Source organism: Homo sapiens, chromosome 1 (genome assembly GCF_000001405.40).
Source record: "Homo sapiens chromosome 1, GRCh38.p14 Primary Assembly".
NCBI lineage: Eukaryota > Metazoa > Chordata > Mammalia > Primates > Hominidae > Homo > Homo sapiens.
The window spans coordinates 65,301,484-65,324,240 of NC_000001.11; the positions used below are offsets into that span (position 1 = coordinate 65,301,484).

The 22,757-nt window shown below is 40.4% G+C and overlaps 1 protein-coding gene and 2 long non-coding RNA genes across 10 annotated transcripts in view, besides 1 other annotated feature; 2 read left to right on the forward strand and 1 right to left on the reverse strand.

Moving 5' to 3' along the window:
* Positions 1–7,901, reverse strand: part of DNAJC6-AS1 (DNAJC6 antisense RNA 1) — a 31,160-nt gene extending 23,259 nt beyond the window's left edge. For 5 of the 6 annotated variants that reach the window (XR_007066155.1, XR_007066154.1, XR_947464.4 and 2 more), the window contains exons 1-2: positions 7,012–7,751; positions 4,950–5,102 (exon numbers count right to left, since the gene is read on the reverse strand). This is a non-coding gene — a long non-coding RNA (DNAJC6 antisense RNA 1). Of the gene's footprint in view, positions 1–4,949; positions 5,103–7,011; positions 7,752–7,831 lie in introns of those variants that run through there. The other variant, XR_947466.4, reaches the window with a different exon arrangement.
* DNAJC6 (DnaJ heat shock protein family (Hsp40) member C6) overlaps positions 1–22,757 on the forward strand; it is a 151,123-nt gene that overhangs the window by 36,735 nt on the left and 91,631 nt on the right. The window contains exon 1 of one of the 3 annotated variants that reach the window (NM_001256864.2): positions 8,060–8,455. The exons of the other annotated variants lie outside the window; for them this stretch is intronic. Within the exon in view, the coding sequence (NP_001243793.1) occupies positions 8,263–8,455 (193 nt within the window). The 5' untranslated portion in view covers positions 8,060–8,262. Of the gene's footprint in view, positions 1–8,059; positions 8,456–22,757 lie in introns of those variants that run through there. 3 annotated transcript variants of the gene reach the window in all.
* Positions 2,112–2,290: a silencer, noted in NCBI's record as "fragment chr1:65769278-65769456 (GRCh37/hg19 assembly coordinates)". NCBI's record gives its function as "represses an EF-1alpha promoter that drives an FKBP-Casp9 reporter gene in an ReSE screen in K562 erythroleukemia cells {active_cell/tissue: K562}" and the evidence as "EXISTENCE:reporter gene assay evidence [ECO:0000049][PMID:32094911]".
* LOC112268227 (uncharacterized) lies at positions 9,761–21,376 on the forward strand. Its single transcript, XR_002958317.2, has 2 exons — positions 9,761–14,665; positions 16,844–21,376. It is a non-coding gene; the product is annotated as an uncharacterized LOC112268227 (long non-coding RNA).

The window sequence follows — 22,757 nt, forward strand, 5'->3', positions numbered from 1 at the left end:
GTCTGGGCCTCTAAAACTTCTGATCGACCAGATTCAAGTTTGGGTTCCCATGATCCCCTCTTTGGGTTGATTAATTTGCTGGAGCGGCTCACAGAACTCAGGGAAACACGTTTATTGGGTTATAATAAAGGATATTACAAAGATACAAGGAAAGGGATGCCAAGCTGCCATGCCCTCTCTGGGTGCACCATCCTCCAGGAACCTCCACTTAGCTATCTGGAAGGTCCCCAAACCCTGTCCTCTTGGGCCTTGTATGAAGACTTCATTGGGTAGGCATGATTGAAGCATGGACAACTGTGTTAAAATGTGATTCATGGACAAAAAGTATATGATCTAAACCCAATAAGGCCTGTTTAGACTCTGTTTGTCTTCTCTGTGCAGCATTTCTTCCCCCAGGGATGGGGCAGGACACCCTCTGGGATGAGGGTCTTATGACCCACAATCAGATAAGAGTCCTGCCTTGGACAGGTGAAAGTAGGGAGGTAGAACATCAGAGAGAGAGAGAGAGAGAGGGAGAGAAAGAGAAAGAGGTTTTGTTTACTATGTCGAGGGCTATGGGAGTTATACAGGAACTGTGGATTTTATATATAATACGTATTATATATATTATATATATAATATATAATATATATATATATATAAAAAATATATATAATACGTATTATATATATTTATTATATATTATATTATACATTTATATATTATGTTAATATATACATTAATATATTATATCAATATAATATACTATTATATTGATATATTAATATATAATATTATATATATTATATATTATATAATATAATATATAATATATATAATATATATGTTACAGTATAACATTGCTGTGGTTTGAATATCCCCTCCACAACTCATGTTGAAATTTAATTGCCATTCTGACAGTAATAGGTGGTACCATTAACAGGTGATTAGGCCATAAGGGGTCCACCCTCATGAATGGATTAATGCCATTACTATGGGAGTGCACTCTTGATTAAAGGGAGTTTGCCTCCCCCTTAACCCCCTTGCTGTCTCTTCCTTTCTTTTTTTTTTTTTTTTTTTTTTTGAGACGGAGTCTCGCTCTGTCGCCCAGGCCGGACTGCGGACTGCAGTGGCGCAATCTCGGCTCACTGCAAGCTCCGCTTCCCGGGTTCACGCCATTCTCCTGCCTCAGCCTCCCGAGTAGCTGGGACTACAGGCGCCCGCCACCGCGCCCGGCTAATTTTTTGTATTTTTAGTAGAGACGGGGTTTCACCTTGTTAGCCAGGATGGTCTCGATCTCCTGACCTCATGATCCACCCGCCTCGGCCTCCCAAAGTGCTGGGATTACAGGCGTGAGCCACCGCGCCCGGCCTGTCTCTTCCTTTCTTATCCTCTCTTGCCTTCCTGCCTTCTATCATGGGATGATGCAGCACGAAGGCCCTCACCAGATGTAGGCTCCTTGATCTTGGACTTTCTGGCCCCAGAAACTGTAAGAAATAAATCTCTGCTCTTTGTGAATTACCCAGTCTCCTGTATTCTATTATAGCAGCACAAAATGAACTAAGGCAAACGTTGTTATACTATGAGCATGTCCTTGAAAAGTCAAGGATAAGTTAAATGTTAGCAAATGGAAATGTGTTTTTTAAGTGAGCTCATTAAAGAAACCAGAGCGATTTTTTCTGTAAACTAAAGATGGCTTCCAAAATAAAGTTTTTTGGTATTTTCATTCAATTAGCAGATACTTACTGAACACCTATTACTTGGCAGGCACTGTGCTAGACCTCATAAAACATGATGGGTGTTGTCTTCACCTGCCAGAGTTGCTCAAAATACGTGAATAATAAATTGACAAATATATTCTCAGACTAATATACGGTCAAATAATAACATTTGTTACATCGGTTATAAAAGTTTTTTAACATATTAACATTTAAGAAATCTTGGGGTATCTTAAGATTGATAGTATGTCATACTTTCTTTAGTAGCATATTTTTCTTATGTTGTGACTTAAAATGGATGGTTTCTTAGATTTGATAACATGCAGTATTTAGGGCTTTAGTGTTTATTATGTGCTTCCATGCGCCTCATTTGATTCTCTCTTCTTTTTTTTTTTTGAGACGGAGTCTCCCTCTGTCACCCAGGCTGGAGTGCAGTGGCATGATCTCGGCTCACTGCAACCTCTGCCTCCCAGGTTCAAGTGATTCTCTTGCCTCAGCCTCCTGAGTAGCTGGAGCTACAGGCACGTGGCACCATGCCCAGCTAATTTTTTGTTTGTTTGTTTGTTTGTTTTTTAGTAGAGACGGGGTTTCACCATGTTGGCCAGGCTGGTCTCGAACTCCCGACCTCAGGTGATCTGCCTGCCTCAGCCTCCCAAAGTGCAATTTCCATAAGTTGCCCAAACCATTTTCCACTGACCACACTTAGTAAGGCAGGTCAGATCTAAGGAATGACCTAAATGTCCTTCAGCTTTCACTTTGATCAGTGGAATTGCCTCTTTAGGCTGCCTCAGTGGCCAAAGCATGATCAGAAAGATGGAGGTTTGAATCCTAACTGATTGTTGTGTAACCCTGGGCCAGTTACTTAACCTCTCCAAGTCTGCCTCAAAATAAGAATAAAATCTTTAGATTTAAGGTAGGTAAGGCACCTGGCAAATGATAAATAATCAATGGCAGTTATTTTGTTACTATTAGAGCATCAAGGAAACACAGGTTTCATGATATTGGGTTATCTTAAAGAAAAAAAAAAAGCCCTACCTGGGAAATTTGTCCTATTTTCTGGAAGACCCAGAACCCCATCAAACACCAAGAACAGATATCCCCACTCCTAAGAAACATTATAGGAATAGTTCAGATTTTCTTCTGTTAAATGTCATCCATCAGCTCACCCGATTTTTTCCAGCAGACCTCCTCTTCTATCTTGTGTGTTGCTTTATATGTCGCTCTTGACAGCTGCTACTATTTATGCATGCATTTCTATAGCAAAACCTTGATTAACTGGGACACAGCAAACTGTAGCACTTAAATGACTATGGTTTTCCCCTATGGACATCATTTGGAGGAGAGAGGGAAGTGACAACTAAAGTTTTGAGAACTGAAGAGAATCATGTAATTCCACATCTTCGATTTTACTGCTGAGAGAAGGAGAATGGATCAAGGCCACCCTGCTGATTAAGAGCAGAGTCAGGAGAGGATTCTCGGTCTATTTTGCTTTCTTCTGGACTGTGGCCTAAAGATGTGTCTTTTGGCATCTCTCTTGGGGGTATTTCTCCTTAAGGTTTTGCCACTACACTGCAGGTCTCAAACTCAAATGCCTGCAAGGGCTAACTGGTAATAGGAATGAGTGGAGGAGGCTGAGTATTCTACATTGGGAAGTAGTAGTGAACTATGGTCCTCAGACTGGAGCCTATATACCCTCTGTAAAGGCATCTAAACTAAAATGTTTTTCATTTTAAGAAGTACAGGACCGACAAAACACATCTGGGAGTCAGAGATGGCTTGATGTTCCCCAGTTGAAGTGCCTTGCACTATGTATATCTATAGGCCTTATTCAATAAGGAGATAATCTGGATTATGGCCCTCAGGCACATTGCCAAAGTAAGTTTCAATACTGTGCATTGATTTATGTTTGTTAAAACAGAAAATTGAAGAGACGCATTTTAGAAACCTGATCATAATATATTTTGTAACAGAGAGAACAGAGTAGAAGCTCTGGCTTCATTTACTGTCTGCTTAGCCAAAACTCTTTGTGGTCCAATTAGCCAAATGAATTCAGATGTCACAGTGTATAGGACATTCATAATTGGGAACACTAGGACCTCTTAGTACCAGAGATTGTCCCATAACATAGACATTCAAAAACATTTATAATCAGGACACACAGTGAGAAATACATTTATATCATTACTGAGCAGAAACATACACACACTCATACATATCACACAAACCCAAAACAATATTTTAAGAAACAATATCTTACTGCGTTCCAAACTCTGATGTTTTCCAACCTATTTCATTTTTATGAAAATACTTTATAATTTACTCATCGGCTACAGCATATAGTTTAAATCACTGGACTAGGTAATGCCATGACATTTTTGTTTATTCATTAATTCAGTAGATATTTACTCAATATCTAATGAGAGCGAGGTGCTCTTTGGAGTGTCATGGGGGACACAAACATGAACAAAACATGGATTTTTGCCCTCAAAGAGTCCAAATCCAATAGGAAATACATACACGTGAATATTTAAAAACTCAGGGCAAAACAATCAGTTCACATTTGACAAACTGCTTTTATGTTATCATAGTCATAATGATAACAAATCTCTTAGGTAAGCTGGGCAGATTTAAACTTAATTTTACAGATGGGAAGTTGCATTTTTGAAAAAGTGACATTTTAAAAAGAAGTGGAATGATAGTAATAATAGATAGCATATGTTAAGCACTTATTATATGTTAGGAACTAATTTACTTCTTACTATAACCTTATTATGATGGCATTACTATAATCCTCACTTTACAGAGGAGAAAAATGAGGCAGAGAGGTTAAGTAACTTGCCCAAAGTCATAGAGCCAGGAGTCATTGGAACTAAGAATCAATCATAGGCAACTTCAATTTTTTTTTTTTTTTTTTTGAGACAGAGTCTCGCTTTGTTGGCTCACTGCAAGCTCCACCTCCTGGGTTCAAGCGATTCTCCTGCCTCAGCCTCCTGAGTAGCTGGGACTACAGGTGCCTGCCACCACGCCTGGTTATTTTTTTGGATTTTTAGTAGATACAGGGTTTCACCGTGTTAGCCAGGATGGTCTCAATCTCCTGACCTCGTGATCCGCCCACCTCAGCCTCCCAAAGTGCCAGGACCACAGGTGTGAGCCACCACACCTGGCTGGCAACTTCAATTTTAATCAATGTATTATATTCTCTGGAAATGAAAATCACAGATCAAAATCCTACATAGGTCATGGCATACATACCTTGATCTCTTAGCCCACCCCAAAAGTGATGTGGCATCTGCTGTGACAGGATAGCATTTGGAATGAGGTGTGTATGAAGGGGATGGGGTGGAATAGAGCCTGGTTCCTCAGTATTCCTCAGTGTCACTAATCTTCATCAAGTTAATAAAGCACCTGAAGGCAGCAAGAGAAAAGACAAAGGGAATGATTGCTGTCCCCAGAAGAGGGCATCTTATCCTTTGCCGTTGTCTCATGTATGATGTAGTATTTTTGAGATAAGTTATGAAGTAGTCTTGAGTTTGGAAAACCAAGAGTTAGGCTGTAAATGTTCACCTTGTGTTTGACCAGTGCCACCTCCCTTAAGCCCAAATTCTCATTCAAAGTTACAAAGACAATTTTCCATTAGGATATCCCTGGAAAAAATAATATTTAGCCTTTATTGAGCTTTTCCCATTTGAAAAACTAAGACTGCCAGGCGCTGAGCTTAAAGCTGCACCCAAGACAGACCAATAATGGTAATAGAGAACAATTGTTAAGTACTACTCTCTCTCTCAATCTGTTTCTCTCTCTCTCTCTCTCTCTCTCTCTCTCTCTCTCTCTCTCTCTCTATATATATATATATATATATATGTTAGGTACTAATCTAATTCTTCTATATAATGATGGTACTCATATTATGCTTGTTTTATAGAGTAGAACAGTGAGATATTCATTGATAAGTATATGAATTTGATCTTTAGCACAGTAAAGAAAATTTTAATGTTGAAATTGGTGCATATCCAAATTTAGGCCCAAGCCCTAGTTTTTAGGCTGTTGTAAATTAACCTAGTTATTGTATTTTCCTGCCTTAATATGCTTCTTATATCTTCAATTTTATAGGATTATTAATAGTTATCCTGATTGACTTTATTTATATTAAGTATAAAGATAAAATTCTTATAGCCCATTCAGATTTTTCTTTACACTTGCAAACTCCAGAGATAGATATTGAAAAATACAAAGGCATATGTCTCATCTATAATTTCTTTCAGCAATATGTCTGCAAGTTGAGCAAAAATAACTGAAAGTGCTCTTTTTGAAAATAATAATTTTCACTTTTCAAAAATGATCCTGTATTTATTTATTTATTTTTTGAGACAGGGTCTCAGTCTGTCACTGAGGCTGGTTCTAAATTCTATTAATCCAATGATTATAGTCCAGCATTTGTCAGGGCACATGATGAACACTAGGTATTTACTGTCCCTGTGTGTCTGTAATGAATTAAAAGAAAAAGTACAGAGAAAGATTATTTAAGATGTTATGGGAAAAGATTTACTAGACTTCACAGAATTATTACTTTAGTCAAGTAACTAAAATAATTCAATCTGACAGATTTGGAAAATTGAAAGTATAAAAATTTGTTTTAAAATTTTTATTGCAGTTTTTCCTGCCACCATTCAGATTGTTTGATCTTGTTATAAATGAGCATTAACTCTGATTTGCAATTCAGGTCACACCATACCTCATCAAAGAATGCAGTTGGGAAAGCAACTGGCCAGGAAGTTTAGGTTTCCCCAGAAGGACTGGAAGGATTTAGAAAACATTTCTTTGGACTTCTTCTGGTTGATGCTCTTCCTACAAGAATCTGTGTTTGGGTGATCCTTGTACAGGAAAATGTCTCTTAGTCCAATTTATTTTATGTAGAACTGTGTAGAGCTAGAGCTTCCCGGAAACTTTCTGAGACCCAAATCATCTGGACTGAAGTCTCTTAGATGCTATTGTTTGATTTTGTGTCCTTAGGTGATTGATATAAGGACAGCAAGAGAAAACCATGTAAGATGAGAAGAAAGCAAAGCTGGCTTTGTGTATGGGCTCAAGTACATTTTACATGCACGTACTTTTTTCCTGTTTTGGTGAGGAAACTCTGTCAAATGACTCTTGACGGGCGCCTCACTTAGTCCCTCCAAGTTTTAGTAGAGAAAATGATAATTTTTAACCAAGACTTACTTGATCTTGACCTAAGATGATGAGAATGAGCAATCCTTCTGAAATCTTATTATTTTAGGTGAAAATAAACATTCGATAATTACATTTTAAGACTTACCAGAGTTTATCCAGGTTTTGTTCAGATCCAGAACTTATACAATGTCGGAGTCTTCTTTTAAGAATACACGATGACAGATACAAAATTAGGTACACAGCTTAATTAACTTCATGATAAATTCTCTTCTGATTATGAGTTACTGCTTTCTTTGGCCAGAATTGTGAAAGAAAAATAAGGCGTGAGGCTAGAGGATGGGGAAAAAAAATCCTTGTCTATCTTGCTTCCCAAGCAGGCCTTCAAGCTAGCTAACTGAAACAGTCTTTTCTCCAGGTCCTAAGGTAAATGGTGGCGGATCTGAAAATGCGTCGGACTTAACCTTGCCCTTCTCCCCAGTTTATTCGCTCAACAAAGAGTTCTAAACAGTCACATCTGCTCTCTAGGCAGAACGGACGCTGCCTCCTAGTATTAGAATACCCAACTCTTTGATATCTCCCTTAGGGATCATCCCTATTCTGGAGAATGTGCAAAATATTGCTCTTCCTTTATATCCTAGCATAGATATATTCTGGCACTTAACATGCATTCTTTTTCTGTTGAATTGAGTTACAAGTCAGTTCTCTAGGACGGTTACCGTCCTGGTGGCTTTGGCGGAATCTTCCGGTGAAAATAGGCTAAGTTGCATGAAATGGGTGTGTCTGGATTTTACCACAAGACCCCTGGTCCTCAAAGCTTCGCAGGCCGAGATACCTCGCCCCTTTCTTCTCTGTCACACGCGTGCGAACACACCCTCCCAACCCACGTCGTAGTAGTCCCCTCCCCCGACCACCCCGCCCCGTTTCCCTTCAACCCCCCTCCTCACGAACCTCCCCTCCCTTCCTACCTCCCTTTCCTTCCCTCCCCGCGGGCCAGCGGCTTTGGCGCTGCCCTGCTGCGCGGCGGGGCGACGCGGCGACACCTATAGGATTGCTTCCGGGCACTCCTCAGCCAGGAGGTGCTGGCCTGGGGCCCGGAGCTCGGCAGGGCCGGGCGGCTCCGCGGCGTTGGCCCAGAGGACGCGCGCCCCCGCCCGGCCGCGTCTCCTTCCCTCCCTCCCTCCTCCCGGCGCCCCGAGCCGAGCTCAGCCCAGGGCGGCGGCTTCGCCTCGCCCGGCGAAGCTTCTCTCCGGTGGCCGCTCCTTCTTTTCCCTCCTCTTTGCGTCATGTCGGGCACTTAATTTTTTTTTTTTTTTAATTCCTTCTTCAGCCCTTTCCACCTTCCATCTCCCTTTTCGCTTCCCAGGTTGATTATTTTCTCTTTTCTCCGGGCTTGCCCATGAGCCTCCTCGGGAGCTACCGGAAAAAGACCAGCAACGATGGTTATGAATCTTTGCAGCTGGTGGACAGTAACGGGGACTTAAGTGCGGGAAGCGGCGGGGTTGGCGGCAAGCAGAGAGTGAACGCCGGGGCAGCGGCGCGGAGTCCCGCCCGACAGCCTCCGGACCGCGCCAGCACCATGGACAGCTCAGGTAGCGCTGCCCGAGGGGAGTGCAGCGCTGAGCCCCGCGCGGCCTCCGGAGCCTCCCAGTCGCCCGGCCCGAGGCCCCCCCGTGGTCCCCCAGCCCCGGTTTGCGAGAGAGCCGGGCTGGAGGCGAAGGCTTCTAATACCACCTGGGTGTCGAGTCTCTAATTTCTCTCATCCAGGGAGCTACGAAACGTTAGATCAGTCCTGAGGCCCAGAGACTGTAGCGAGCTCCTCCTAATCTCTCTAGACTGCTGAATACGGCAGCTGGGGGCGGGGAGGGGGAGGGAAGGAGGAGGGGAGGGGTGGAGAAGAGAGGGGAGCGGGTGGGGCGAAGAACGGCTTGGGAGGAGGGCTGGGAGAGGCAGCTGCTTTCACTGCCCAGCTGGATGAGGGGGAGAGGTGAAGGAGCATGTGCGTTGATTGTTTTTGCAGCATGCAGACGGTATTTATTCCAATTGTTATTCTTGCAATGCTGATGCTATTTGCAATTCTGTAAAGCTCTGCCACATCTTAACTCAGCCGTCTGCTAGGGTTAATGTTACCTTTCTCCTGCAGTTTTTAACCTGGGATCTAGAGCTCTTTTACACAGCTTTTACTGTTTGCACAATGAAATTTATTTCATGTGTTGGCTTTGATCTTGTTTGTCCTTTTGCTTGAGTGTACAGATTTCATAAACCTTTACATGTAGGGACAAGGAAATTCCTCTAAACTTTGTATCGGGGCTTGCAACTGTCTTTTATAAAAGGTTTGGCAAGTTAGAGTCCTCTCTTGGAACTGCTGTTGGCATTTGCGATTTCAATAGCAAAACAGTCATTTAATATATCCATGTTGGACTAGGAGTATTATTATAGCTATTTGCTTACTTCTGCAGGGAACCAGGTTCGGAGAATTGTTTACAGAGATATTTATAATTGAAGTCCTCAGTGGTTGGTTCTACACTGGTAACTTTAATACTGGACAACTGAGGATTCCAGAGGAAAGATTCATATGGGGTCGTTTGAACAGTAATGAAATCAAACTGAATTTAAATGCCCTGCTTTGCAAACAAATGCTTGTTTATTTTAATTGTGTAATGGCTGTCCTTGGGCTATTATTTTCTATTTTCCTTGTCCCAAAGTGGGATGAAATATTGTCCACAGATGCTCAAATGTCCTGGGCTGAAAACAAATTCTACTCATTGAAGCTCTTATTGAAGTTAACCAAGATATTGATGGGACATTCTCTTAGACCATTTTAAATAAAACTAAAATGATCCCCAAGGGATTGATGGTTTCAGGACTGTTTTTTTTTTTTTTTTTTTTTTTTTTTGAGGCGGAGTCTCACTCTGTTGCCCGGGCTGGAGTGCAGGGATGCGAACTCGGCGGACTGCAAACTCCGTTTCCCGGGTTCAAGCGATTCTCCTGCCTCAGCCTCCTGAGTAGCTGGGATTACAGGCACCTGTCACCATGCCCGGCTAATTTTTGTACTTTTAGTAGAGACGGGGTTTTGCCATGTTGGCCGGGCTGGTCTTGAACTCCTGACCTCAGGTGATCTGCCTGCCTCGGCCTCCCAAAGTGCTGGGATTACAGGCATGAGCCACCGCGCCCAGGCAGGACTTTTTTATTGATGTTGTATGTGGTTATTCAATGTATGTTTTTTCAAATCTGTGATATATCAAAGTGTAATCCATCTTTTGACTGGATGTAATCTCCTTTAAATCTTAAAAAGATTCATGTTCTCTGAATGATGCCACCATAATAATGTTTACATGTAGTGAGCATGTAAACAATTGAAATGAAAACAAACATATTCCAAATGAGTGTGAAGGAGCCTCACTTCAGGAAAATGAAAGAAATATGAAATACATATGTTTTCCTTTTTCATAGGGATTATTATTTTAAGAGTTGAAATTGGTTTTTGAAATATGTTACATTGTAGAATAAGTTCAACATACATTTTCTGAGCCCAGCTATGTGCCAAGCACTGTGAGGGAACACAGTAGTGAATGAGATCCTTCTGGCCTCTAGGGGACTCTCAGTGGGGGCAGTAACTATAACACAGAGCAGCCTATGGTAAGTCCTGGATTTTTGAGGATTGTCTTTTTCACTAAATCAGACTTTTTTAATAGGTGGAGAGAAGAATAATGGATTGCTTTAATAATCTGTTGTGATGGGAAAGTGTTTCATTAAGAATATTGTTATCTCTAAAGTGCTATTGCCAGGAGTTGATTCTTAAACTTGATCAAAGTGGTGTTGTGTGAAGAGGCTGCAGGGATTCCTTTTCTCCTCCCCTTATCCATCATTCACTCCTATATTTTATTAGGGGAATATTGTGGCTTTGTTGTAGAAGTACAGGGTATCTTACAATGATTTTGATGCATATTTTCAACTGAGAATGATTTGTTTGGTTTGAATGAAGGATTGGACTCTGAGAGTAGGATTCTTTTACTAGTACAACTATATGTCTTGCCTAATTATAGTTCTTTCTTCTAAGATCCTCAAAGTGTGGCCTGTGCAGTGTAAATATATCCATTTGTTTAGTATATCTAATTAAGTTCATGGATCATTTCTAAAGTGGCAGTAATCTGCCCATTTATTCAACTGATTGTACTGTGACATGCTGGATAGGATCAGTGGTTTATGGGACTTTTGCTCTGATAGAAATATTAATGAGTGGAAAAAATATGTTGACATCTCGCTACATGATTTAAAGCTTAGTCTTAATAATACCTTAAACTTGTAAGACTGTTTATAATAGAACACTTGGACAATTCTCTTATTTCATTTCCCCAGAATTTTATTAAATAGGTTGGGGAAGCAGCATGTGTCTGTGCTTGGAGACTTGGGATCAAACCTCTGCATTATTGTTACTCGCTGAAAAACCTAGTAACCTTTTTCTTTTCTTTTCTAGACAGATAGCTCTGTCACCCAGGCTGGAGTGCAGTGGTGCGATCTCAGCTCATTGCAACCTCCACCTCCCGGGTTCAGACAATTCTTGTGTTTCAGCCCCTCAAGTAGCTGGGATTACAGGCGTGCACCACCACACCCGGCTAATTTTTGTATTTTTAGTAGAGACGGGCTCTTGCCATGTTGGCCAGGCTGGTCTCGGACTCCTGGTCTCAAGTGATCTGCCCGCCTTGACATCCCAAAGTGCTGTGATTACAGGGTCTTGCTCCATTGCCCAGGCTGGAGTGCAGTGGTGTGATCATGGCTCACTGCAGTCTGGACCTCCTGGGCTCAAATGACCCTCCTGCCTCAGCCTCTTGAGTAGCTGGGACTACAGGTATGAACCACCATGCCTGGCTAATTTTTTTTTTTTTTTTCTTTGTAGAGATGGGGTTTTTTGCCATGTTGCCCAGGCTGGTCTCAAACTCCTGGGCTCAAGCGATCTGACCACCTCGGCCTCCCTCCCAAAGTGCTCGGATTACAGACATGAACCACCATGCTTGGCCTGTTCCCATTTATAAAAGTGGAATCATAAGAGCTGTTCTTACCACAGAGCTTTAGTTGAGGCTGAAAACAATATAAAAATACATTTGCAGTTTTTCTTTACTTTGTATCTTGCCCTTTCAATTTATCATATGAAGAAACTTATTCTCAGAGGTGGTAGGAGACCTATCAAAGGTAGAATAGATAATGACAGCCAGACTTAGGTCTTCTGACTCAAAGGTTTGAGTTTTTCCCCATTGAACTAAACTTTTGGGTAGACACAATATCAACTGATTGTTGAAATGGAAACATTTTTATCTACTTTGATTTCCCCCCTGTTTTTAGATAAAAGAGGGGTACATGTTCAGAGGAATGTAATGGCTTTCTAAGTCAACAGCCTCTCAAGTGGTAGATACCAGAGCAGTCTCCTAGCCAGATGTGACTTCCAGAGCTCTCTGCCTTCCCTGGCTCACTTTCTCTTCATTCAAATTATTCTCTAGAAAAGGTTGTCATTTAAAGGTCATCCTGTCATATCTCAAAGGCACTGCACTATCCCAATGCCGAAAACCCCCTATTTCTCTTGTGTGCACCCCACTTTTCAGGGAAAGTAGAACCACAAAAGTAGAACTTTCAATATTGAGCTGCTAAAGTGTTCCAATATTGGGCTTAATTTACCAAGTTCATAATGACAAACTGAAAAAGAGTAGTCCAATTAAAATCTGGAAACAGATATTAATACTTTTTAAAGAATAAGTATAATGATAGGTAAGGATTTCTCTTTTGATTCTCACTTTTTAGGCTTTGTTCTATATATTTAAATATATAGAAATTCACATATATAAATAAACAAAATATTGTATATATTAAAAAAAAAGAATAAGGATAATGAACAATGCTAAAATACCATGTAGTGTGAGTCTGGTTGGAAACAAAAATTACCTTTAACAAATTCTATTTTAGTTAGTGTTTAAACACAGCATCCACATTTTGAACCAGGTTTCAACATTATGAGATACGTGTTTGGATAATTGTATACTTCATGGAAGTATAATAAACATATATGTACTAATAATCCTTTCTTAAGAATATCTGCCCATTGAAGGGTCTTGTAGGTTGGAGGCAAAGTTTATTTATATAACTTATTTTTTATTTTTTTTTTATTTTTTGAGACGGAGTCTCACTCTGTTGCCCAGGCTGGAGTGCAGTGGTGTGATCCCGGCTCACTGCAACCTCTTCCTCCTAGTTCAAGCAATTCCCCTGCCTCAGCCTCCTGAGTAACTGGGATTACAGGCACCCACCACCAGCCAGGCTAATTTTTGTACTTTTAGAAAAGACGGAGTTTCGCCATGTTGGCCAGGTTGGTCTTGGACTCCTGACCTCAGGTGATCCGCCTGCCTCAGCCTCCCAAAGTGCTGGGATTACAGGCGTGAGCCACTGTGCCCAGCCAATTTATATAACTTATTTAATGTGTGGTTATAGTTTGGATGTTTCTGGATAATCGTTTAAAGATGCACCAGTTACTGGATTACAGAATAAGATACGTCAATTTAAGTTTCAAATTTCAAATGCTTGGAGACTGCCAGATTTCATAGATTTGGAAGGGGAATCCCTGGAACCAAATCTCGGAAAGTTGGCCAGGTAGCCAATGGTGGACACTTTCTGTGATGGAGCTTTAGCTACTGGGGCAGTGTCTTTGAACTGTTCTCATCAGTGCAGAGTTCTTTTTATTTGGGCAAAATCAGCCTTTCTGTTCTCTAGATACAAATTATGTCTAATCCTTCTTTCACATGGTAGCCCTTAGACAACAGATTTTTGAGAACAGGTACTAATTCTCTCTTAGTCTTAATTTTCCTCTTTTCTAGGCCAATCAAACCTAAGTTCCACATGCTTTTTTCTCTATATAAAATGATTTCCATATAATTATCCTAAGCTTTGAGAATAATGTTTTTTTTTTTTATTATTTTGCACAACAGGGGTTTTCACCAATTTTTATTATAAAAGGTTAAAAAAGAATTAAAGATTACAGAAAGGAATAAAATGAGAAAAGTTAAGTATTCTCTCCCCTCCCTGATCATTTAGGTCCTTGCCTCAGAGATAACTTCTACTAAAAGTTTCTGGAAGGACTTTCAACGTACAACATGAGTGTGTGTAAATATATATGCTTTACACATATATGTATATGTATGTGTATACCATTAGAATTATAATAAAATACAAATTCAAAGTTTAACCATGTTCATATATGTACATTGTTCAATAATGCTTAATGACAAAAATAGCTACAATTTAATTATTATAATTCAGGGATTATGCTAAACACTGCATATGGTGTCACATTTAACCCTCATAAGAATCCTATAAGGTAAATGATAGTAACGGTCATCTTATAGTTGAATAAACTAAGGCACAGAGAGGTTAAGTTGCGTGAGGTTACACAGGCTCTACTTATTCTATATTGAGTAAAATGCCATAGAGAAATGCCCATACGATTGCAAATGAAGAATTTAGTGGTGAATTTTTTTATTTGCTTCTTTCTCTGAGGCAAGGAAAAATAGGAGTGATTGAGAGAACCAAAATGAGTTCAGTTGTTTTTTAATCCCATGAAAGTACAAATATGTTTTCTTTACTTAAATATAAAGAATTTAAAAACACTGGAAATGAAAACAGCAAAAACAGCATTGAATAAAGCTGATTAAGACTTGATACGGCACTGAGAGAACAATACAATTGATGAAGCATTATATATTTTTGGAAAAATATATTGCAAATGAAAATGGATCCCCACTGCTCTTAGGATAAAATCCAAGGTATTCTTAACAGGACATCAGAAGCCCTTTGTGGCACCTGTGAAAGCTGGCCCAACAAAACTTGTTGTCGCTCCACTGGTAGATCCCCTCCCCAGCCTGCACCTCCATCTTTATGTTTTTGCATACACTGTTCTCTCAACTCAGGCCAACTTATCCCATAGACCCCTGGACACCCACTTTTCCAGGTTATCTCCTATTCATTCTTCAGGGTTTAGCTCAGATATTCCTTAATCGCAGGCTGCATGCAATGGTCATTCTCCATGCTCCTCAGCAGCCTTTACTTCCGTATCACAGCTCTCATCACATTGAGTTGTGACATGCTGCCTGGCCTGTCTCTCCCTCTAGTCTGTAAGTAAAGTTCAGAGCAAGGCTGGGTCTTATTTGCCTTTGTAGTCTTGTCATTGCTTGGCATTTATTAGGAGCCTGATAAATACTTGTTGGATGCACAAAAGCATGAATGGATTTTGAATTTTTAAAAGGGCATTTATAATGAAATATGCCCATCCAAATCTAAAAATAAGCATACAGCTAGGTTTTAACAGAAATGAGGCCAGGTTTGAGAGAAATGTAACTGTTGGTCGAAAGCTAGACCAATTCAGTAATGAGCATTTTTTCATATGTAAAGACACTGGAAGTGAAAGAAAGATGGTTAATATATAGCCTAGATCCTTAACAGTTTTCTAATATAGACATGTCAAGAAAGAATTAGCTTACCAAAAGATTGTGCTTTTTCGACCAACAAATACAATCTACTGTATGATTCATCATAAAGGTCACTTTTTTTTTTTTAGCCAAAAAAGGAAACTCAAAATGTATACAATTTTTTTAATGAACTGACAATAGATGACTTTCATCTATAGATCTGTGTATTTCTTAATCGGTGTCATTAAGTTTTAATCTTAGCCATTTTCAGGTTTAATATTAAAAGTTCTTTGTATCATCTTTGGCCGTCTGCAGTTGTATATAAGCTTTGTGCTAACTTAACTGCTTTTTTAAATCTGTGCTCACCATCTTGAACTCCTTTTGGAAAAAAGCTATGTTTGAGATGGATGAAGAATGCTGGAGTTTAGATTGTGCATTTCCTTGTTGCGAAAGGTGTAACTCTGAAAAAACTAAATTACAGTTATTGTATATTAAACAGCTATTCCTGAAATTTACTTGGAAGCTTTTGAAAGAGTAGCTCAGTATCTGAGGAGAAGTTCTTCACGGTCCAAGAAATTAGGAAGTTCCATAACATGTGCCAAGGGATCTGGCAATTTCTACTACCTTTAGTTGCTTTATCCCACATGTCACAGGCCATAGTCTAGATGCAAAAAATATCTTTTTATTTCAATAACACATCAGAACATAGTTTTAAAAGTGCTAGAGATAGAAACTTTAAATTAAAATTAAAATGCGTGTAGTATTAACAGCGCAAATGTCACCACCAAGGAAGCAACCAGATGAGCCAATGCCTCCTGTGCAGTGTTAAGTTTGCATGTGCAGAAAATTACTGTTGTTGTATTGTGGTGTAGTACTCTACCTGGTAGCTGGCAAGTGTGTTTGGCATACATTGTAAGCCACTTCCTAATTTTAGAAGTGTTATGCTGTGAAAAAAGTGCAATTAGAATTGGAGATATTTGACAAAAGTCAGGGTGAATAAATAGTATAATAATAGTTATATAAAGTGCAATAGGGGTGCAGAAGAAGGAGCCATAATTTTAACCAGGAAGACTAAAGAAGGCCACAGTGGAAGTTGATATTTGAGCCAGAAATCTGTAGGAAAAGAAAGAAAGAAAACCCGTTTTGGGCTTTGGGCTAATGCACAGTGGCATCATAGTGCATGGTATGTTTAGAGAATTGCATTTAGGCTTGAAGCTGGAGCCCAGATGGGTGGGAGGTGCTATAGCAGATGGTGCTGGGAAGATAAGACCCAGGTCAGGGTGAGTCTGCTTGAGGAGGTTGGACTTTATTCTGCAGGCAGTGGGAGGCCAGTGAAGATTTGGAGATGGGGTGAGGTAGGGCTGACTTATCTACTAGGCACAGTGTCTAGAAACCACAATAATTTTAGGGTCCACAAAAATGTTTACATTTTAATTGCCTTTAAAAATCAGAATAAAATAAATAAGTATAACAATAATGAATTCATCTTTATTCAAATGCAGTCATTAAAATATATGTTTTTTTTTCTGTTAATAGAGGAATAGGTCCATGAAGGTAAAAATGCCTACGGCCTACAAAAGTCATACTGCAGCCCCAGGGAAAAGAGGGCAAAATGTGAATCCTGGAGATAATTTACAGCTGTGTGAAGGATGAATCCCACCGGTGGTTCCTAACTGTGATCTGGCTGCATCAGATGTACCTGAGTAAACACAGATTCCCTACTATGCAGCCGTAAAAAGGAATGAGATCATGACCTTTGCAGGGACATGGATGGAGCTGGAAGCTGTTATCCTCAGCAAACTAATGCAGGAACAGAAAACCAAACACTGCATGTTCTCACTTATAAGCGGGAGCTGAAGATGAGAACACATGGACACATGGCAGGGAACAACACACACTGGAGCTTGTCAGGGCATGGGTGGGGCGGGGGAAGGAGAGCATCAGGAAGAATAGCTAATGGATGCTGGGCTGAATACCTAGGTGATGGGTTGGTCTGTGCAGCAAACCATCATGGCACACGTTTATCTATGTAACAAACATGCTGCACATGTACACCAGAACTTAAAATAAAAGTTGAAGGAAAAAAAGGAAAAGAAAACACAGATTCCTGGGCCCCAAGCATGTTTGATTTAGGAGGAAGGGGAGGGGTGTGTTGGAAGACAGAGCATGCCAGTGGAGGACCAGGAGAACAATCAAATTGCAGTTTAGCTGATGACCTGAGAAACAACGAAGGCCCTAGCCAGGGCAGTGTCAGTGAGACTGGGAAAAAGTCAGCCTGGGGAAGCATTGCACAGGTGAATGACAGACTGACAACCAACCAATGGTGGGGTCTGAGATACAGGAGATACCTGGATGGCAGCAGGAGAGAAGGTAGTATTTCTAGTCTCAGCCAGAAGTGGAAAATGTGATCAACTGTTTTTCTCTGCTGCAAGTTCACCATGAACATACTTGTGGAAGGGCTGAGAATACTGTTAGCTTGGCACAAGCTTTCACCAGGCTTTCAGCTTTTTGGTAGGCTGCCCATTAGGCTGTGCAGATGCCCAGGGGAGTGCTGTGGAGGGGTGTGTGGTAGAAGCAGGCCCTGTGTTTGCCTGGAGGAAGAGTGAGATAATGGGTAGAAATGCTAGAACTGAAGCTCTGTGGCTCTGGGCTGAGTCCAGGCCTAAGGCCCGAGGCCAGTACGGTGTCTGTATCGGGTGGCCCCTTCTCACTGGGAGAGCCCTAGACTCTGGTTCCTTGCTTGTTGATGGAGGCACAGCAAGAATAATCAAACACCTGAGAAACTTGGAAGATGATTATTGAAACCAGAATTTTTTTTCAGAATTCTCTGGAAAAAATAAAAAAAACAAAAAACAAAAAACAAAAAAACCAAAACAACCCTGACCCCAGAAATTCTCAGGGACTTTCTTGTACCAGCATTTGGCCACTTGAGCATTGCGGCAAAAATCTTAGCAGATAATAGTCTTCATTTTTCCCTGATCCTTATTCTTATTTTAGTTTCTTCCTCTTCTGCAGTCTTTCCCTCTCTTCTCTTCTTTTGTCCTTCTCTTTCTCTTTCCCACCCATCTTCAACTTCCTTATCCCTCTCTCTTCTCCTTTGCCTCTTGTACTCATCTGCTCCCCTCTTCTCTTTTCTCCTCCCCTTCTCTCTAGTCAGTGAGTCAGCATGCCTGGGAGATGTGGAGCCCCATGCCATATGCAGATGACTGTAGTTTTGGGATATGTGTACGCATGTGACTTAGTTCTCAGTCTGCTGCATGTGGCTCAAAAGGTGTGAAGACTGGTGTCACTTTCCAATTTAGGCAATTGCATCTGGCTTACCTAAAATTTCACTTGCTGCTTCAATCAGCAAAGTGTTTCTTCCATACTGTGACTTGGTGATGAGAGGTTTCATGAGCTGCAATACCAGAGGCAGTTGCATTTCATTCAGATGAAGGAATGAATTTTACTAATCCACAGCCCGAGAGTATAAGATAATAGCTCACCATTTCTTCCCCTCCATCTCTCTTACTTTACCTCTGTAGGAAAGCAGATCTTTCTCTTCTTCTTCCCTGTTGCTGAAGCCTAGATATATTGCTCTATTTTCAACCCTTCCATGTCTAAATTAGTTGAGGCTGTTGAGCAGTGGGAGTACTAGGGAATTATGAGTCAGGAACTCCAAATCTAAGCTCTGACTTTGTCATTTACAAGCTGTGACCTTGGGCAAGTCATTCAAATGAGAAAAATCATACTGACCCTGCCTTTTTCATAGGCACAGTGGAATGTGAGAATGTAAATGAATGCATTTGCAGTTGATACTCTTCATTCATTCATTGCATAAATGTCTCCTGGCTGCCTACTATGTGCTGCCACTCTTCTAGCCATGGGGGATACAGTAGACGATAAGATAGATAAGACCTTGGCACTTATGAGTTTGATTATAGTGCATGAGCAGTGAACAAAGATATATGGTTCTATGGTATGCTAAATTCTATGGAGGGCTAGAGCAAGCAGAGAATAGCTCAGGATGGTAGTAGGATGGGGAGACCTATCTTCCAGGGGCTGGTCAGGAAAGGCCCTTCTGAGGAGATAATGTTTGAGCTGACACCTGAAGAAACAGAAACAAGCAGGAAAAAGAAAGAGCAGAGTGTAGGGCATTTCAAGTTCTAGGTACAGCAAATGCAAAGACCTGGAGAAGGGGGATAGCTTTGTAGAAAGAAGTGTGTACCTGATATAACTGGTGCTTAGTGAACTAGGAGGGCATGGCCACAAATGAGGTTTGAGTTGTGTTTTTAAGAGACTGTTTGGCTGCTTGCATAGAGAGAGTTTGAGGTGGCTTCCTAGGTATTCCACATTGTAGGCAGGATTTCTACATCATAGACAAGGTCAGCAATTATACTGTTCAACACTAAGTATCAGTCTTTTAAAAATTTATTTATTTATTTGAGACAGGGTCTTGCTCTGTTGCCCAAGCTGGCTGGAATGCAGTGGTGCAATCATAGCTCACTGCTGCCTCGAATTCCTGGGCTCAAGCAAGGCTCCTGCCTCAGCTTTCCAAGTAGCTAGGACTACAGGCATGCACCCCACCATGCAGGGCTAATTTTTAAATTTTTTGTAGACCAGAGTCTTGCTATGTTGCCCAGGACGGTCTTGAGACCTCAAGGAATCCTCCTGCCTTTGGCCTCCCAATATACAGGGATTACAGATGTGAACCACCACACCCAGCCTAAATTTAATTTTTTAAAGACGATTTTTTTTTAAGAGAAGTTTTATGTTCACAGCAAAATTGAGAGGAAGGTACAAAGATTTCCCATATATCCCCTGCCCCTACACAGGCATCGCCTCTCCCATTATCAACATCCCCCACCAGCAACATACTTTGTTATGCTCTATCATATGCAGAACTTACAATGATCCAGTGAAGTAGGTGGTATTAACAAAATGTTTTTGAGAGAAGGTTCAATTAGGTTCAATGAGCTTATACACAGTGAAACTAGCAGCAGAACTCAGGTCTTCTGCCATATTGGGACATGAGAGAGATTTTCAGAAGAGGAATTGACATCTTGGGCACCCTGTAGCCAAGATATATCAGCTACTTTAGGAAGAGACAAGCTGGAGGGATAGGACAGGAAAAGTTGGGTTTTAATTGCCAGGGAAATTGGTTTAGATTGCCTTGAAAGTATAGCAGGATTTTACTGTAATTATTGGTCTTAAAATTCAGCCATTAAAATCTCCTAACAGGAGATAGGAGCCTGGCTTTGTCTCTGAATGTGCCAGGAGAGAACTGTCTCCATTATGCCTCTCATTGGCACACAGAGGCTGGGAAACTTTCACACACTGTCTCGTTTTGTGAGCATTTGCAGTTGTAACGGAAGACAGCTCTATTTTATATCTTGCTTTGTTTTCAAGCCATTGCATGAAAGCCAGGCCTCTTGGCTCTTAAAAATTAACCCCCCCAAACCTATTTTAGTTTATAGCAGTGATACAGGTTAATGAAAAGAATATTTAAAACAATTCAGAGAGTAGTATAAAAATGAAAATAAAAATCCATTTTTTTCTATCTTCTCACACAGACATGGATTCTTGCATATTCACATATACATACATCCAATCATATATATAATGTACACTTGAATTCCTGGAATCCATCTATACATGCTATTATATAATGTGATGTTTTATTTAACATTGTCATAGATAACTTTCTATATTAGTACCTAAAGATGTACCTTATTTTCTCTAACGATTGTTTTAAATTCCACTGTCCAAATTCCTCTATTGATAGGGGGTAAATATCTTTGAGCATATATTTTTATATATTGTATATGCAGTATACCTGTGGGAAAAATTCCTAGAAGTGGAATTACTAAGAGAAAGAACATATGCAGTTCACATTATGATAGATCCTGCATTGTTGCTAAGAACCTTGCACTAAATTAAGTTTCTAACAGTATATGAGACTACCTGTTTTCCCACATTCTTGTCAAAGCTGAGTATTGACAAACTTCTTAATCTTTGGTAGACTCATACATGAGAAATGATGATAATGGTTTACTTGAAACTGGCATTAAAGGTTGATATTTCTGTGAATTATTTTTGTTTTCAGAAATTAATTTGAATAGCTTTTCATTAGGTAGGCAATACATATTCAAGGCAAAACAATTTGGAAAATCCAGAAAACACAAAGAAAAAATAAAAATAACTGATAAACTTGTTTTTCATGAATAACCATTGTTAACATTTAGGATATACCTTTTTGTCTAATGCATGAAGTGTGAATGAGAAAATTTTATTACAGCAGTGGGGAAAGCATTGGAGTTGGAGCCAGTGGTTGTTCTAGATTCAAGTTTTTAACATTGCTGACTAGCTTTGTGACCTTGGGCAAGTCATTTAAATCCTCTGAGCCTCAGTTTCCTCCTTTGTAAAACAGATAATGCCTTTTAATATGATTTGGCTTTGTGTCCTCACTCAAATCTCATCTCGAATTGTAATCCCCATTTGTCGGAGGAGGGGCCTGGTGGGAGATGATTGAATCATGGGGGCAGCTTTCTCCCTTGCTGTTCTCATGATAGTGAGTGAGAACTGATGGTTTTAAAATGTGGACTTCCTTTCTCACTTTCTCTTTCTCCTGCCACCATGTAAGACGTGTCTTGCTTCCCCTTTGCCTTCTGCCATGATTGTAAGTTTCCCGAGGCCTCCTAGTCATGCTTCCTGTTAAGCCTGTAGAACTGTGAGTCAGTTAAACTTCTTTTCTTCATAAATTACCCAGGCTCAGGTAGTTCCTTATAGCGATGTGAAACTAGATTAATACACCTTCCTTCCTTTGTTTTCTTTTCTTTTTTCTGAAGCAGGTTCTTACCCTGTCACCCAGGCTGGAGTGCAGTGACATGATCAAAGCCCCCTGCAACCTTCACCTCCTGGGGTCAAGCAGTCTTCCCACCTCAGCCTCCAAGTAGCTGGGATTACAAGACTGCGACACCATGCCCAGCTAATTTTTAAATTTTAGAGATGAGGTTCTACTATGTTGCCCAGGTTGGTCTCAACCTCCTGGGCTCAAATGAGCCTCCTGCCTTGGCCTCCCAAAGTGCTGGGATTACAGACATTATTGTTCAGGCACAGTGAGCCACCATGCCCAGCCAATAATGCCTTTCTTATCAGATTGTTAGGAAGAACAAATGGAATAAGGAATAGAAAACTGCTCACTGTATTCCTTGCCCTATAGTGGATAACTTGATAAGTGTTGGCTGTGCTGAAGTTCAAGTGAAGTAAGGCAGTGTTGAGAATATTTTTCTTATCCTGAGGTTTCTTCAAGGTGGAGAATTTTCTCTCTTCAGTTTACAAGGCACTGAGCCTTGTCTTTGTTATATCCATTTTGGGATTGTTCATAAGTTTTTTCTCTTTCTTTATTTTGTTTTTATTTTTTTGAGACAGGGTCTCACTCTGTCACCCAGGCAGGAGTGCAAATAGCACG